We start from the raw sequence: 14018 nt of genomic DNA on the forward strand, positions 1-14018 counted from the left end.
ATAACAAAGTGCCACAACCTGGGTGGCTGTAACAACAAAAATGTATTGATTTATTGTTCAGGAGGTTAGCAATTCAAAATCAAGCTGCTAACAGGGTTGATTCCTTCTGGGAGCTGCGAGCAAGGGTGTGTTCCAAGCCTCCCTCCTAGCTTCTGGTAGCTGCAGGCATTCCTTGGCTTGTAGATGACCATCTTCTCCCTGTGTCTTCACGTCATCTTTTAGCTGTGTGTGTCTTTGTCCAAATTCATCCCTCCCTCCCTCCCTCCTTCTCTTTCTTTCTCTCTCTCTCTCTCTTTCTTTCTCTCTTTCCCTTTCTTTCTTTTTTTCTTTCTATCTTTTTCTTTCTTTCTCTCTCTCTCCTTTCTTTCTTTTTCTCCTTCCTTCCTTCTTCTCTCTCTCTCTCTCTGTCTCTCTTCTTTGAGGCAGGGCCTTGCTCTGTCACCTAGGCTGGCATGCAGTGGTGCAGTCATAGCTCACTGCAGTCTCAAAATCCCAGGGCTCAAGCAATCCTCCCACTTCAGCCTCCTGAGTAGCTGAAACCACAGGCATGTGCCACCATGCCCGGCTATTTTTTTTTATTCTTGGTATACACAGAGTCTCCCTGTGTTGCCCAGGCTGGTCTCATACTCCTGGACTCAAGCAGTCCTCCTGCCTTGGCCTCCCAGAGTGCTAGGATTATAGGCCTGAGCCACTGTACCTGGCTCAAATTACTTTTTATAAGGACACCAGTTACCTTGGACTAAGGTCTACCTTAATGACCTCATCTTGATCATCTGTAATACTCTATTTCCAGAGTACTCATATTTACAGGTACTCACAGTCAGGACTTTAGTATCTTTTGTGGGGACAACTCAATCCATAACAGTATGCAACTAGCTCAAGGCAGCAAGACAATGTCATAGCGGAAATAAGGAGAACTGGGTTCCCATTGTGACTCCCATATTAGCTGTGTGCCTTTTTGTAGGTGACTTCATCTGTCTGTTTCTCAGTCTTCATATCTATTAAATGACCATTATAATACCTACTCACAGAGTAGTTGCCAGAATCAAGTAAGATGAAAAGAGTATAAAGTGCAGTGGTGCCCAAAGTCGGTGCCCAATACTTCCCTCTCTAAGCTCTATTCTTCCTCTTAGAAATCTCTGGGCTAGGCCGGGCGTGGTGGCTCACACCTGTAATCTCAGCATTTTAGTAGACCGAGGCGGGCAGATCACAAGGTCAGGAGATCGAGACCATCCTGGCTAACACAGTGAAACCCTGTCTCTACTAAAAATATACAAAAAATTAGCTGGGTGTGGTGGCGGGCTCCTGTAGTCCCAGCTACTTGGGAGGCTGAGGCAGGAGAATGGCGTGAACCCGGGAGGCGGAGCTTGTAGCGAGCCAAGATTGCCCACTGCACTCCAGCCTGGGCGACAGAGCAAGACTCTGTCTAAAAAAAAAAAAAAAGAAAAAAAAAAAAAAATCTCTGGGCTGTGGCCTGCCTCAGCCTCCCTTCTTCCAGAGGGAGGCAAGGAAGATCAGCTAGCTGGTTCTGGAAGAAACCGCGCACTTCATATCGGCTCAGACTCAGCTGCTGGTTTTCCTACAATGCTGCTTCTTTACAAAGCTGCTTAATTTTCCAAGGGGCTGAAATTGCAAAGCTAGTTTCCATATTGACTTACGAAATGAAAGGAGAACTTGGGAGAAAAGGTGAAGGAGGTAACTTAATAATAACCGTCAGGTGCATGAGAGGTAATTTTATGCAGGCAGGAGGCCAAAATTTTTTCCATTTATATTGGGAATAGGATAAAAGGAAACAGGCACACACTTCTGCAGGAGGAATTTAAATAAGACAGGCTCTGCTTATAGGGCTGATAGCAGGGCTGGCCTTGGGCAACCCTAGGAATGAAATGAAGTTGGTTATTCATGTCATTTCACCTCTCCCTTCTGCTATTGCCAGGGATGCACAACTTCAGGCATTTCTACTAGCACTGCCAACTTTGAGTAGAGTGAAATGGACAATCTGTTCTCATCAGCATTCATTCACACATATATACAGGGCACCCACAGGATGAGGGTAGGCTAGCTGCTATAACAAACAGTTCCTAAAGCTCAGTGGTCTAACCAAATAGATTGACTTCTTTTTCAACAAGCACTCAACACAAGTGTTCCTGATGACAATGTTCTCCTCCAAGTAGCAAGCTTGGGGACCGGGTGTCCTTCTATCTCCTGGCTGCGTTCCCCTCTAGGCCTCAGAGATTGCTCCAATCAGCCAGAAGATGAGAAGTCATGAGGATTGTGCTTGGGAGGGTTTAGTGGGCCTGGTCTGGAAGTGGGGACATCCCTTCTGAACACATCCCATTGACCAGGACTCAGTCCCGTGGCCCCATTTATCTGCAAAGGAGGCTGGGCGGTGTGGTCTGCATGGGAAAAGAAGGGAAAGGGAAAGCACTAGCCAGTGTCTGTGGCAAAAGTGTTGGGGAAATAGTGTTCTCTCCTTTGTATTTCCTGCAGCACTTTGTCCATTTATGTAACAAATGTTTGTTTACATATAGGCTGAGCCAAGTTACACGTTAGGTCCCACGGCTAACTCAATATGGTCCATAGCAGATGAGCCCTGCCAGCAACTTGTCACATTACATTGTATTTGCTTTTTCACACATTTGTGGGTCTGAGACTGGATTCCCCCAGATACAGTCCCATAGATAAGGGTTTGAGTGCAAGACCATCGGTGTCACACCCACGTCCCACTCTCCAATTTTCCTCTCAGTGCACACCTTCCAGCTACCTGAGGACTTTCTATTGCTATTGGAGGTCAGGACGCCAGTGCCCTCCAGGATTAGGCCTCAGCCAAGGCCTCCACTCCCCTACCCTTGGGCTGGGTAATTCTGAGCTGTGACTCTATGGCCCCTGGAGTTTCCCCGGGTTAATAAAGCTCCAGTTAGCCACAGCACTAGCTGACTTGATAATGCCGTTTTTAATTGGCTGCCTACCTTTCCTATCTCACCCCCTCACACCCCTACCAGTATTTCTCTTCACTTCCCAAATAAATGGCTTGCACCCAAACCCTTGGTTACTCAGGGACTGCATCTGGGGGAATCCAGTCTAAGATGCTGTCTTTGCCCTGAAGGTGTTTGCTTCTTTAGGGAGGAGCTCTTTCTTATTTATCCTTGTTTTCCTAGAGCCCAGAGCAGAGGCTCACTTGTTCATCCGACAGGCACACAGTGTGTACCTGGCCTGGACCCGGCCTGGTACTTGGTGCTGGGCACACAAAGAGTCATTGAATGAAAGAAACTGGGCTGTTTCTGCAGGTGACAAGGTTAGATTTTGGCATGTTGAACTTGAGGCTGTAAAAACTTGTACTTGAGAACTAGTATCTCCAGATTAAGTTCTCAGCTAAGCTTTCTATCAGGCATCCTACTGCCCACTTAAAAAAAAAATCCCCTCCTGCCTTTCTTGCAAAGATCTCAAACCCCAATTCTAAATCTTGTTCTCTCGCCTTCTTCAGTCTTAATTCAGATGCCACCATCAGTTCACCTTCTCTGCAAGACCTTCACTGATGATCATTTTTATGGTTGCCACTCTTGCCTCAGCCCTCCCTATCCTCCTTCCCTGCTAAGCATGTTTTACCATCTAACAAATTATGCATTTAATTTAAACCTATTATTTCGTCTGCCTCTTACTGTTAGAATTCAATTTCATGAAGGCAGGGGTTTCCATCTGCTTCCTTCACCACTGCATCCCCAACATCTAAAATGATGGCAGCCACAAAAAGACTCCTCAAAATATCACTTGTTAAATAACTGAATAAATTTGTTAAATAAGGTGATGTGAACATATTCAGTGACAGAAACTAAGAGGCCAGAGCATAAAACAGAAGTTCCAGGTAAGCAGGACAGTGCCATGTTCCGGCTGAATTGTATTCCCTCAAAATCCATATACTGAAGCCCCAACCCTCAGTATCTGAGAACATAACCTATTTGGAGATAAGTCCCCCCTGACCCAGGCTTCATTAAGGAGTAGCTGACAAATAAAAGTAGTATATGTTTACTGCATGTACTGTGATATTTTGATATATGTATATAGCATGAAATGATTAGGTCAATCTAATTAACATATTCATCACTTCACATCGTTATTATTTTGTGCAGTGAGAACATTTAATATCTACTGTCTTAGCCCTTCTCAAGTGTACAATGTATTATTATTAACCATGATTATTATAGCCACTATGGGGGACAATAAAGCTCCAGAACTCAGACTCCTTGTCCACCACTTCTCCATTTCCTCCACCGCCTAGGTCTTTAAAGAAGTAATTAGCATAGATTGGGGCCCCAATCTAATAGGACTCGTGTCCTGATAAGAAGAGACACCAGGGCCATGGGTGCATAGAGAAAAGGCCATGTGAAGACAGAGGCGGAGGACAGCCACCTGCAAGCCAAGGAAGAGACCTTCAAAAAAACCAAATGTACTGATACTTTGTGCTTGAACTTCCAACCTCCAGGACTGTGAGAAAATAAATTTCTGCTCTTTCAGTCACTTAATTTGTCATATTTTGTTATAGCAGCCCTAGCAAACTATATATGCCATAAATCATATAGGTTATATTTCATATGGCAATAAAAACTGGAATAGGGCAGTGATATGGATCCCTGCAAAGGAGAGCAGAGAGCAGTAAGAACAGCAAATCGATCTCAGGAAGCCCCTGGGTGAGGCACATGGTGGAAGAGAGAGAAGCAAGAGCAGGAGGTGGCCAAGAAAAGGGGGATCAGAGAGAAAGGAGAGGGCCCAGATTCGTGCAGAATCCTGCAAGTTGAGGGGAACTATTCCCATGCCGATGACCTTCATCAGTTCTTATTTTTCCATTTCCCTGCTACTAATGAATAACCTTTGCTCATGCCACTCCCTTTACATTAAATACTCCATCAAGACTTCTTAGCTTTGCTATTTTTCATGAAAGACTCTCTAGAGACGTTTATTCGATACACAATTTGTTAAAAAAATTAAACTCCATAAAGATGGCCTGCCATCTGGGAACATAATAAAACTAGTCTTTAATCTGAAATTCATTCTTTTCTACAGCAGAGAGAAGCATCCAGTGTGTGTGTATTGTCTGCCTGCTTGTGAATTTCCACTGAGCCATTATGCAATCTTTTTAATTTTTTTCTTTTCTAAAAATGAGTCCTTATTTCTGAAAAAAGCTACAATAGTCATCTTTGGCAATTACCAACATTTCCCCGCATTAAGACATTCGTTTCCACATCTGGCAAGGAGAAAACAGCAGGAAGTCACATGTGCCCTGGATCGTCATTGTAACCAATGTCATTACTCTATTTTCTGGAAGGGTTTCCAGTGGTCTGATGGCGGGGACACAGCAGTGTTTGTCTTGGGGGTATGTGATCTATATGGGTAACCTTGGGTATCAGGCTCACTAGATGGGATGCTGAGGCATGAAGCTCCATAAACCGTGACTGCTACGCAAAGGCATTGTTCTTTGACTTCAGAATATATTGCATAACATTTCACATTTTTCATATTATTTTAGAATTTTAGAGCTGGGAAAAATTCTGAAAATCCTTCATCAGCCCCTTCATGTGGATTAATTGATTTATTTTTAGAGCTAGTGTAGCAAGATGGTTAAAAATGTTCATGGTAGGTTGAGACACACTTGGGTGTTAATTCTTCCTCAGCCACTGACTAGTTGTATAGCCTGGGACAAGCCATCCAAGCTCTGAGTTTTCTGATCTACAAAGTGGGAATAATGAAAGGATCTGTGCCAGGGATATTGTACAGAGTAAGTGTGATAATGCAAGTAAGAGAGAGCCCAGGACACTGTGTATGTCTAGAAAAGCTTAACCATTACTGTTGTTGTTAGAAGCAATCTATGTTTCTGGGGCAGTCAGCTCTTGCTATTAAATGTAGTAAGAGTCATTGTGTGCTAGTGATAAGGTCACTTAAGTGAGCACTTCTGTTTCTGGCAACCATAAAAGAGGACGTCAACCTACTGACCTGGAAATGAGAAGAAAGTCTTTTAAATTAGGATTATTTGCATGGCCAATCACTTAAATCCAGGTTCTTCCTCCCAACCACGCTGAGTTTATACCAGAGAGGTAGAGACTATGGGCTTTCTCTATGTAAACAAATGCTCTAAGATAGATCATGAGGACAAGAGGCACATATGTCAATCATTCCCTGGGATTCGTCTCCAGGCATGATTTTATGTTAGTTCTAGGGAATACAAACCCTTGATTCATACACAACAGTTGGCAGAGATGTATTTATGACCCATCTAGAACCAGTGTTTAATTTATTATCAGGAGTCCAGGAAAACTACAATATTTTATGAAATCTTTCCTCTGTGTATGTAGCAGGAGGTTCGGCGGGGAGGAGGAAGGCCTATTTGGCTGACAGCTTTGCTCCCCATTGTAATAAAAGTCTCCTTGTACTTTAAAGCTATGGGCTTCCATTTAAAACTTAATGAGTTCAGGTTTGGTTTTGATATTGAGGTCCCATGTAGGGTTCCCTGGTTCCCTCCACTTCCTGTGTCCTAATGGAGAGACACAGAGTGCCTTGACCACTTTGTGAGCTGGCCAGCTGCCTGTTCATATCCCATCTCAGGTCTTGAACATTCCCAGGCACTGTTAGAGATGTCTAGATTGTTGCCCAAAACACTGAAAGAAACTGGCGCTGGCCTGATCCAAATGCCTCAAACCTTCATCTAAGCTCCATACCTCAACTCCTAACTGCAGACACACCTAGATAGAACATCTGTCTCTTGCTGTCCATCATGAGGACCCAGCAGCCCACTCTGTAAATTCCCCTAATAAATGCTTTGGGCGAATCACCCTGGCATTTAGTGCTCTTTTCTTTGGAATCCCAACCAGAGCTATCTTGAGATGGTTTGGGGCACTTCCTTGTGGGAATTCCCCTGCCACTGCTTTTGGGAGAATTTCAGCCATAGGTTTGGTAAAGATGAAATATCCTGTCGACCGAGAACAGTGTAAAACAGTGGTTTCCAAATACCAATCTATACACATTTTTTGAGCTTGTATCTTCAATAAGTATTCCTATTTATTATTCATAAATTATATTCCTGTACTTCTTCACTAATATACTAAAAACCATATACAAGATATACAAATTTTAAAGCATACTTGTAAAAATAAGTAGAAATAAAATTACATGTTAAAACTTTCTTTTTATATATATATATTTATTATACTTTAAGTTTTAGGGTACATGTGCACAATGTGCAGGTTTGTTACCTATGTATACATGTGCCATGTTGGTGTGCTGCACCCATTAACTCGTCATTTACATTAGGTGAATCTCCTAACGCTATCCCTGCCCCCCTCCCCCCACCCCACAACAGGCCCCAGTGTGTGATATTCCTCTTCCTGAGTCCAAGTGTTCTCATTGTTCAATTTCTTCCTATACGTGATTTTTCTCTTACACAGCCAAGTGTATGTATATCCCCAACCATGTAAGAGGAGACAGGATTGGATACAAATAATTGCATACACAACGGCTAGTGCTAAATAAGGGCGGCTAATACTTCTTCCCTGGAAGATGGGCAGGAATAATAAACAAAAGGTAACCATTGAGTTGGATCTTGAAAGATGAGCACTTTTCCAGATAGACAATTAGAGGTAGAGAAATTCTAGATAGAAAAGCAGGAGGAAATAAAAGTGTGCAGGGGCACAGAAACATGCCCAAGTGAAGACAGCTGAAAGATGAGAGGCTCAGTTAGGTCTGGATCACAGGTCACGTGAGACAGAGCTCATGGAGAGGAAATGTGGTGCTGTTCTAAGAAAAGCCTGCATGTCAAGTCAAGAAGGGGGAACCCTATCTTATGGGAGAGATAGGATCAAAAGCCACTCTGGGGGTAATGTGGAAGTGGGTTGGAGGAGGAGATACTGAAAGGATATTAGTTGGGATGCTTTTGATAGTCTGGGGAAGAGATGATAGGAATAGAAACTAAAGTACCATTTAGTACCAGTAATGGAGGAGAGAGGATGGTTTTAAAAGCATAAAATGGAGGAATTAAGAAGATTCTGTGATTCTATGAATCTGGGACAGACCTTAGAATGATAGGTAAGTGTAGGATATATCACAAAGCCGTATTCAAGCCCCACTAAGAGATGTTTGGTGCTGTAGAGAATTTTCTTGGATGACATGTCAATCACCAGCCTAAAAATTTGCATTGACTTCTCATGTATGGCATAATATATTATATTAATGGCCCCAATTCTTCATCTCTCTCTCTCTCTGTACTCTTACCCTTTGCCAAGTGACTTCTCGGGTCTTCTTACTAAAGTGACAGTCTATTTTCCTGCCTCTTGATGCTAAGCTTGACCATGTGACTTGCTTTGGCCAATAAAATGAGATGGAAGTGACAGCAGCCTGGCATGCTTCTGCCTGGCATTCCTGCCTCTGCTGTCTTCATAAAGTGGACTTGCTTGGGTACATTGGTCCTAAGATGATTAGACCAGCCAGCCAGAGCTTCCCCAGCCAACATGCTGCAGCCAAACCCAGCCTAGAGCAGAGCTCCAGCTGACCTGCAGGCACATGAGAGAGCACAGCCAAGATGAACCAAGCACAGCCAAAATCAACTGAGCACAGATAAACTCAACCGAGCACAGCCAAGATCAAGTGAGCACAGATAAACTCAACTGAGCACAGCCAAGACCAAGGGAGCACAACTTAGTTCAGTCATTCCTAGCTGATCCATAAACATGTGATTTATAACTGATTGCTGCTTTAACCCATTGAGATGGTGGGGGGAGGAGGATTTGTTATACAGCGATAGCTAACCGATATTCCATTGCACCTTGGATGAAGCTTTCAATTCCCTAACATGACCTACAGTAGGCTGATGATCTGCCTTTTCTTGACCTTTATCTCCTATGCCTTCTCCCTAGTTTCCTAAGCTCCAGCCTCTCTGGTCTTCTTTCACTTCTCCAGCTCAGCATGTCCTCCTCACTCCAGGATCCACAGGTCCCTTTGTTTGGATGCCCTCCATCTCCTAGTATCCTAATCTGGTAACCATAGTTATTTTCTATTTATTGTTTAAAATCAGTTCAAAATCTGTTTCCCCGGGGAAGCCTTCTCTGATCTTTACACTGAAGTTAACTTCTCCCGTTACATTTTTCCTCAGCGTCCTGAGTTTTTTATTCACAGCCTTTATCACACTTGTAGCTTAATTACTGCCTGTACATTAGCTGTAAGTTCTGTGAAAGCAAAGATCGTATTCATCTTCTCTCTCTAACCCAGTGTATTATGCTAAAAAATGGGACGAATGAATGAATGGTACAATCGATAGAGGTTTTTGAAGTTCTGGTCTCTGTTCTATAAACCAGAGTGTTCATCTATTAAATCTTTGAAATAATAAACTCAGAGACAGGTCTGCTAAGTTTCCTAGTATCTGTTGAGGAGGAAAGAAAACAGGAAATCGGCCTGAGTGGATACATTTGCCAAAAAAAATTCACAGCTGTCACAATGTTTCCGCCATCAAAGCAGGGATTAAAAGAACTACAAGGGAAGGGAACCAGTGCCAGCTTCTGGGGAACTTTCGGGACCAAATTTGGTGAAAGATTCGTGCAGGCTTCCCTGCCTGCACCTGCAGTTGCTTGTAGGCACAAAATGTTTTGCTCAAATAGTTCCACCCACCATTAACCAAATGAATGCTTTGGGGTGCTATGCTGTATTTAACTCAGAGTCTATCAAATCTTGTGTTTTCTGTGACTTCTGTTTCTCTCAGAATTATTGCTGTCAGGATAGCAATTTGAATGAAGAAACTTTTGCAATTTCAGTGAGCCTGAAGATGCCTTTCGATAGTTGGGCGACTACTCTGTCAACTTCAGAGCCAGCAGTGGGGTTTCAGAGAGGAGAGAGCTCTGGGCTTGTGTTTCAGTTTACTCTTTTTTATTTTTATCTTTTTCTTCTTTCATTCTTTCTCTTGACAAATATTGACTGAGAGCCTAATCTGTGCCAGGAACTACATAAAGTGGTCATACTCAATACTCCACTCCCAGGATTTTGAGAAGAGCATGAAATTAGAAATTTGGAAGTGCTTGGTATATATTATATATTCAAAATTCTTCTTGATGGCCCCCAAAGTCCTAATTTTTCGGGTCCCTTCCTACATCTCAGACCTAATTTTCTACGATTTTCCCTTCTCCACCTTCTCTATTTTTAAGACACCCTGGCCTCCTTTCTGACGCTTAAATGTGCCAAATTTGTGCAATTTTCATTCTCTTTTCCAGCGACATACTTTTCCCAGATCTGATACCTCTTGACATTCGAGGCTTAGCCCAAAGGTCCCCTTCTCAGAAAGACCTGACCTGAGTGCTCCACACTTACCCATAACTACTCTCTCCTATACCACGTTTTGCTTCTTCATTTCTTTATTACTGCTGAAATCATCCTATTTGTTGACTTTTAAATTATGTTTCCTACTGGAATGTAGGCATCCGGGGGACAAGGACCTTGGCTCTCTGTTCACTGCCATGGCTCTGGTGCCTCAAACGGGCCTGGTAGACCTCCAGTTCTGCTGAATGAGTTTCATTCTTGAAGGACCCCTGGGCCACCCTGTTGACATTTCCATGTTGCATGAAGAAATGCATAGAAAACATGCACATGTGAGCTTTCCTCAGATGGAGGTTGGTTTGGGCGTTGCTAATTCAGATGCCTCTAAGTGTGAAAAATAGGTTGAGGAGAGTGTAACAGTCAAAGGTACAGAGTGATTGTGTGCCCAATAAATACATTTTAAGAAGTTCTACCTCCCTATAATAAAAGACACAAATTTTAATAATAATTTTAATAATAATAAGTGGCTTGCTAAGTCACAAATATATGCTTATAGTTTTAGTGATATAAACCCACCCATACCTCCTGGTGAGAGTTAATTGATTCAGAATTTCTGGATATGTATCAAAACCCTTAATAATGTCCACTGTTTGGTCTAAGGAAACCAAAATGGAAGTTTGCAAAGCTGAAGTTATAAAGAGGTTTGTCCAAAAAAAAAAAAAAAAAAAAAAAAAAGAGTGGTGGGGAGTTAGGGGGCAAGGAAACTCAAAGGTTCTATCTCCTTTGGCTGAGAATTTAATGAAGTAGACACATCCACGTGATAAAACACAGGTGGGCGGATCACGAGGTCAGGAGATCGAGACCATCCTGGCTAACACGGTGAAACCCTGTCTCTACTAAAAATACAAAACAAACAAACAAACAAAACACAGGGCATTCACTAAATCCATGCACCAAGAGAATAATCTTTATTGACTTTGAAAAATGTTCATTCTCACATTGTTAAGTTAAAAAAAAAGGCTACAAAATAGTGTATGCCATAGGTCCTATTTTTGCCAAAGAAAAAAAGGTGAATAGTAGTGAATAGAAAAAAATACTGGGAGAATGCACATTAAAATGTAATAACAGTACTATTTTATGGTGACACTGTGGGGTGATTTCATTTTGCTATTGTTTCCCTGTATTTGGCAAATTCTTACTTTACACACAGAATGCATATGAAATGAGAAAAAAATTACACCAAATTTTTAGGGTGTCTAAAATGACTCCAACGTTTTGTCCATTTAATAAAACAATTGGTCAAACCACTCTAGACTTTCAGTGCTGTGAAAACCAAAGTATAGTTTGAGTACACCTGTCAGTTTCCAGCCCTTCTTGGTTGTGGTGAGCAGAGCTCAAGGAAAACAGTAGAATAAGTTGATGATGTCTAATTTACTCATTATCATTGACCCCTTGTAATTTAATTTATATGCTATGCTAAGTGTTTACCTGGGATCTCTGTTGGGCATTGCGGACGCTGGTGTTGGAAGTTGGGGTGCTGGCTTCATGAAGCTTCTGGTCCTGTAGGCGGCTCTGACCCATAAAGAGGCTGCTACAATCACCTGTACTAAGTGCTGGGACAGAGGAAGTAGAAAGAGTAGAATGAGCTTCAAATGTACAGAATTATTGTGTGCCCAAGAAATATAGGATACAGAGGAGGGGCTCTCATCTAGCCTGGGAGAACACGGAGGGCTTCCTGGAGGAGGGGACCTGTGGAGTAGCATCAGAAAGACAAATAGGAATTAGTGGAGAAACAGGATTCTGAGAAAGTGTTCCAGGAAGAAGAATGGCAGGAAAAAGCCCCAGAGGCAAGTCACCCTTGGCTTGTTCAAGGATTTGAAAACAGTGCTGTATGGTCAGAACTTGGAATATGTGTTTGGGAGTGGTATGAGTTAGGTTGGGGAGGGTAACCTGGGGCCAGGCAAGGTAGGTCTTAAGATCCTTGATAAGGACTTGAACTTATCCTAAAAGCAACGAGAAACCATGAAAGAGCCTTACACAGGGGACTGACTTGGCCAGATTTACACTTTAGAAAAATTCTTCAGACCACAGCAAGAATTTGGAGGGAGGTCAAGGAGTCTACGAGAAAGATGTTAATGATGTAGGGAATGAGCAGTGGGGTTGAAAAGAGGTGGATGGATTTAAAAAACATGTAATGGGTAGATGGGATTAGATGGAGAATAAGTATAAAGATGGGGAAAAGATGACCCAAGGAGATGCCAGGTGTTCTGCTTGAGCATCTTGGGGTGGGTGAGATAGAAATACCTGGAGAGTCACCAGTTTGGAATGAGTTGATGTGCCTGGGTGACCACTGGATAGAGATGCCCAGTAGGCTTTTGAAAAGGCAGTCTGAAACTCAGGAGAGAGCTGGGATGAAATGCCAACTTTGAAATCAACAGCTTAGACAAAGTATTGAAGCCGTAAGAATGTGCACAACAGGATAGAGGAAAACATCAAGTCCACAATGAAGAACAGCCAGGCAGCATCCCAAAGAACCTCAACACGTGAAGGCTGGCCCTTGTGAAGAAGAATGAAGTGGAGGGGCAAAAGAGGGTGACAAACTCTAGGAGTGCGTATTGCTATGGAAGCCAAGGAGAGGAGGATTTCAAAGGCATCACTGTCAACACTGGAAAGGTCAAGGACAGAAGCAGAAAGGAGCATCTTGGAGTTTAACACTTGTGAGCGAGGTTGTTGGTCCCCATAGTGAGATGAGCCTTTGCAGGTACAAGGGCGCAGATGTTGGGCACAGTGGGTCCAGGGAGGAGAGAGGGGTGAGGGAATGAGGATAGGATGGTAAGCACCTTGTTCAAGAACTTTGCTGCATAGGGAAGCTAGGTTACAGCTCATGGGAGTTTGGAGAGTTAAAGGGGAATTTTGTTTGTCATCAGGGAGACTTTAAAGATTTAACCCAGATACTGCAGAATCAATAAGAGAGGGAGAGTTAAAAGTTATAGGAGAGGAGAAAATCCAGAGCACAGGTAAGGGAGGGGTCCCCCTTCACTGTCACAGGAGGGAGGGAGGATGGATACAGATGCGTTAACTTGGCGGTTCTGGTATCAGAAATTTGCAAGAGTTCCTATGTAAGCTTTCTATTTTTTTTTCCTGTGCAGTAGGAGATGAGGTTATCTGCCTACAGTGAGTGGGAGGTGGTGGAGTAGGAGATTTGAGAAGTGTGGAGAAATTTGAAATAGATGTTCTAGAGAGTGGGAGACAGAGTACTCAGGAAACAGAGTAGTTTCTGAAAGCACTGATGCTCTGGGTGAGCCTGAAGACCTTGGCTTTGTAGTGGCACCAGTCTGCGAGGTGGTGAGATTTTCTCCCCCAGGTTTTAAGAGCCAGGATGTGAGCATGAAGAATCCAAACATCAGGGTTGAAGGGAGGTTGGAACATGGCTGGCATAAGTGGCAGAGGCACAGTGGGTTTAGTGAGTTGAGACCATTGGTAAGAGGGGTGTAAAAGTCATAAATTTTAAGGTCCAAGTTGATGGAGACAGATATAGAACCAGGAGAGAGGGATGAGGAGGAGCTAGTCAAGAAGTGGTGGGACTTGGGGCCTCTTTGATGCTGAAGGTCAGATGTGGTGAAAGAAACGAACTGAGAGTCTTGGAAAGATAAGAGATTGTATTCAGAAAGAACAATGCCTGCCCAAAGAAAGATAAATGTTTGAAATGATGGATATGCCAATGACCCTGATCT

General features: G+C 43.0%; 1 long non-coding RNA gene across 1 annotated transcript in view; it reads right to left on the reverse strand.

Moving 5' to 3' along the window:
* LINC01951 (long intergenic non-protein coding RNA 1951) overlaps positions 1-13187 on the reverse strand; it is a 76650-nt gene extending 63463 nt beyond the window's left edge. The window contains exon 1 of the long non-coding RNA NR_046113.1: positions 11773-13187. This is a non-coding gene — a long non-coding RNA (long intergenic non-protein coding RNA 1951). The remainder of the gene's footprint in view (positions 1-11772) is intronic.
* Between the last annotated feature and the right edge of the window lie 831 nt (positions 13188-14018).

The sequence above is a fragment of the Homo sapiens genome, chromosome 5 (assembly GCF_000001405.40).
Source record: "Homo sapiens chromosome 5, GRCh38.p14 Primary Assembly".
NCBI lineage: Eukaryota > Metazoa > Chordata > Mammalia > Primates > Hominidae > Homo > Homo sapiens.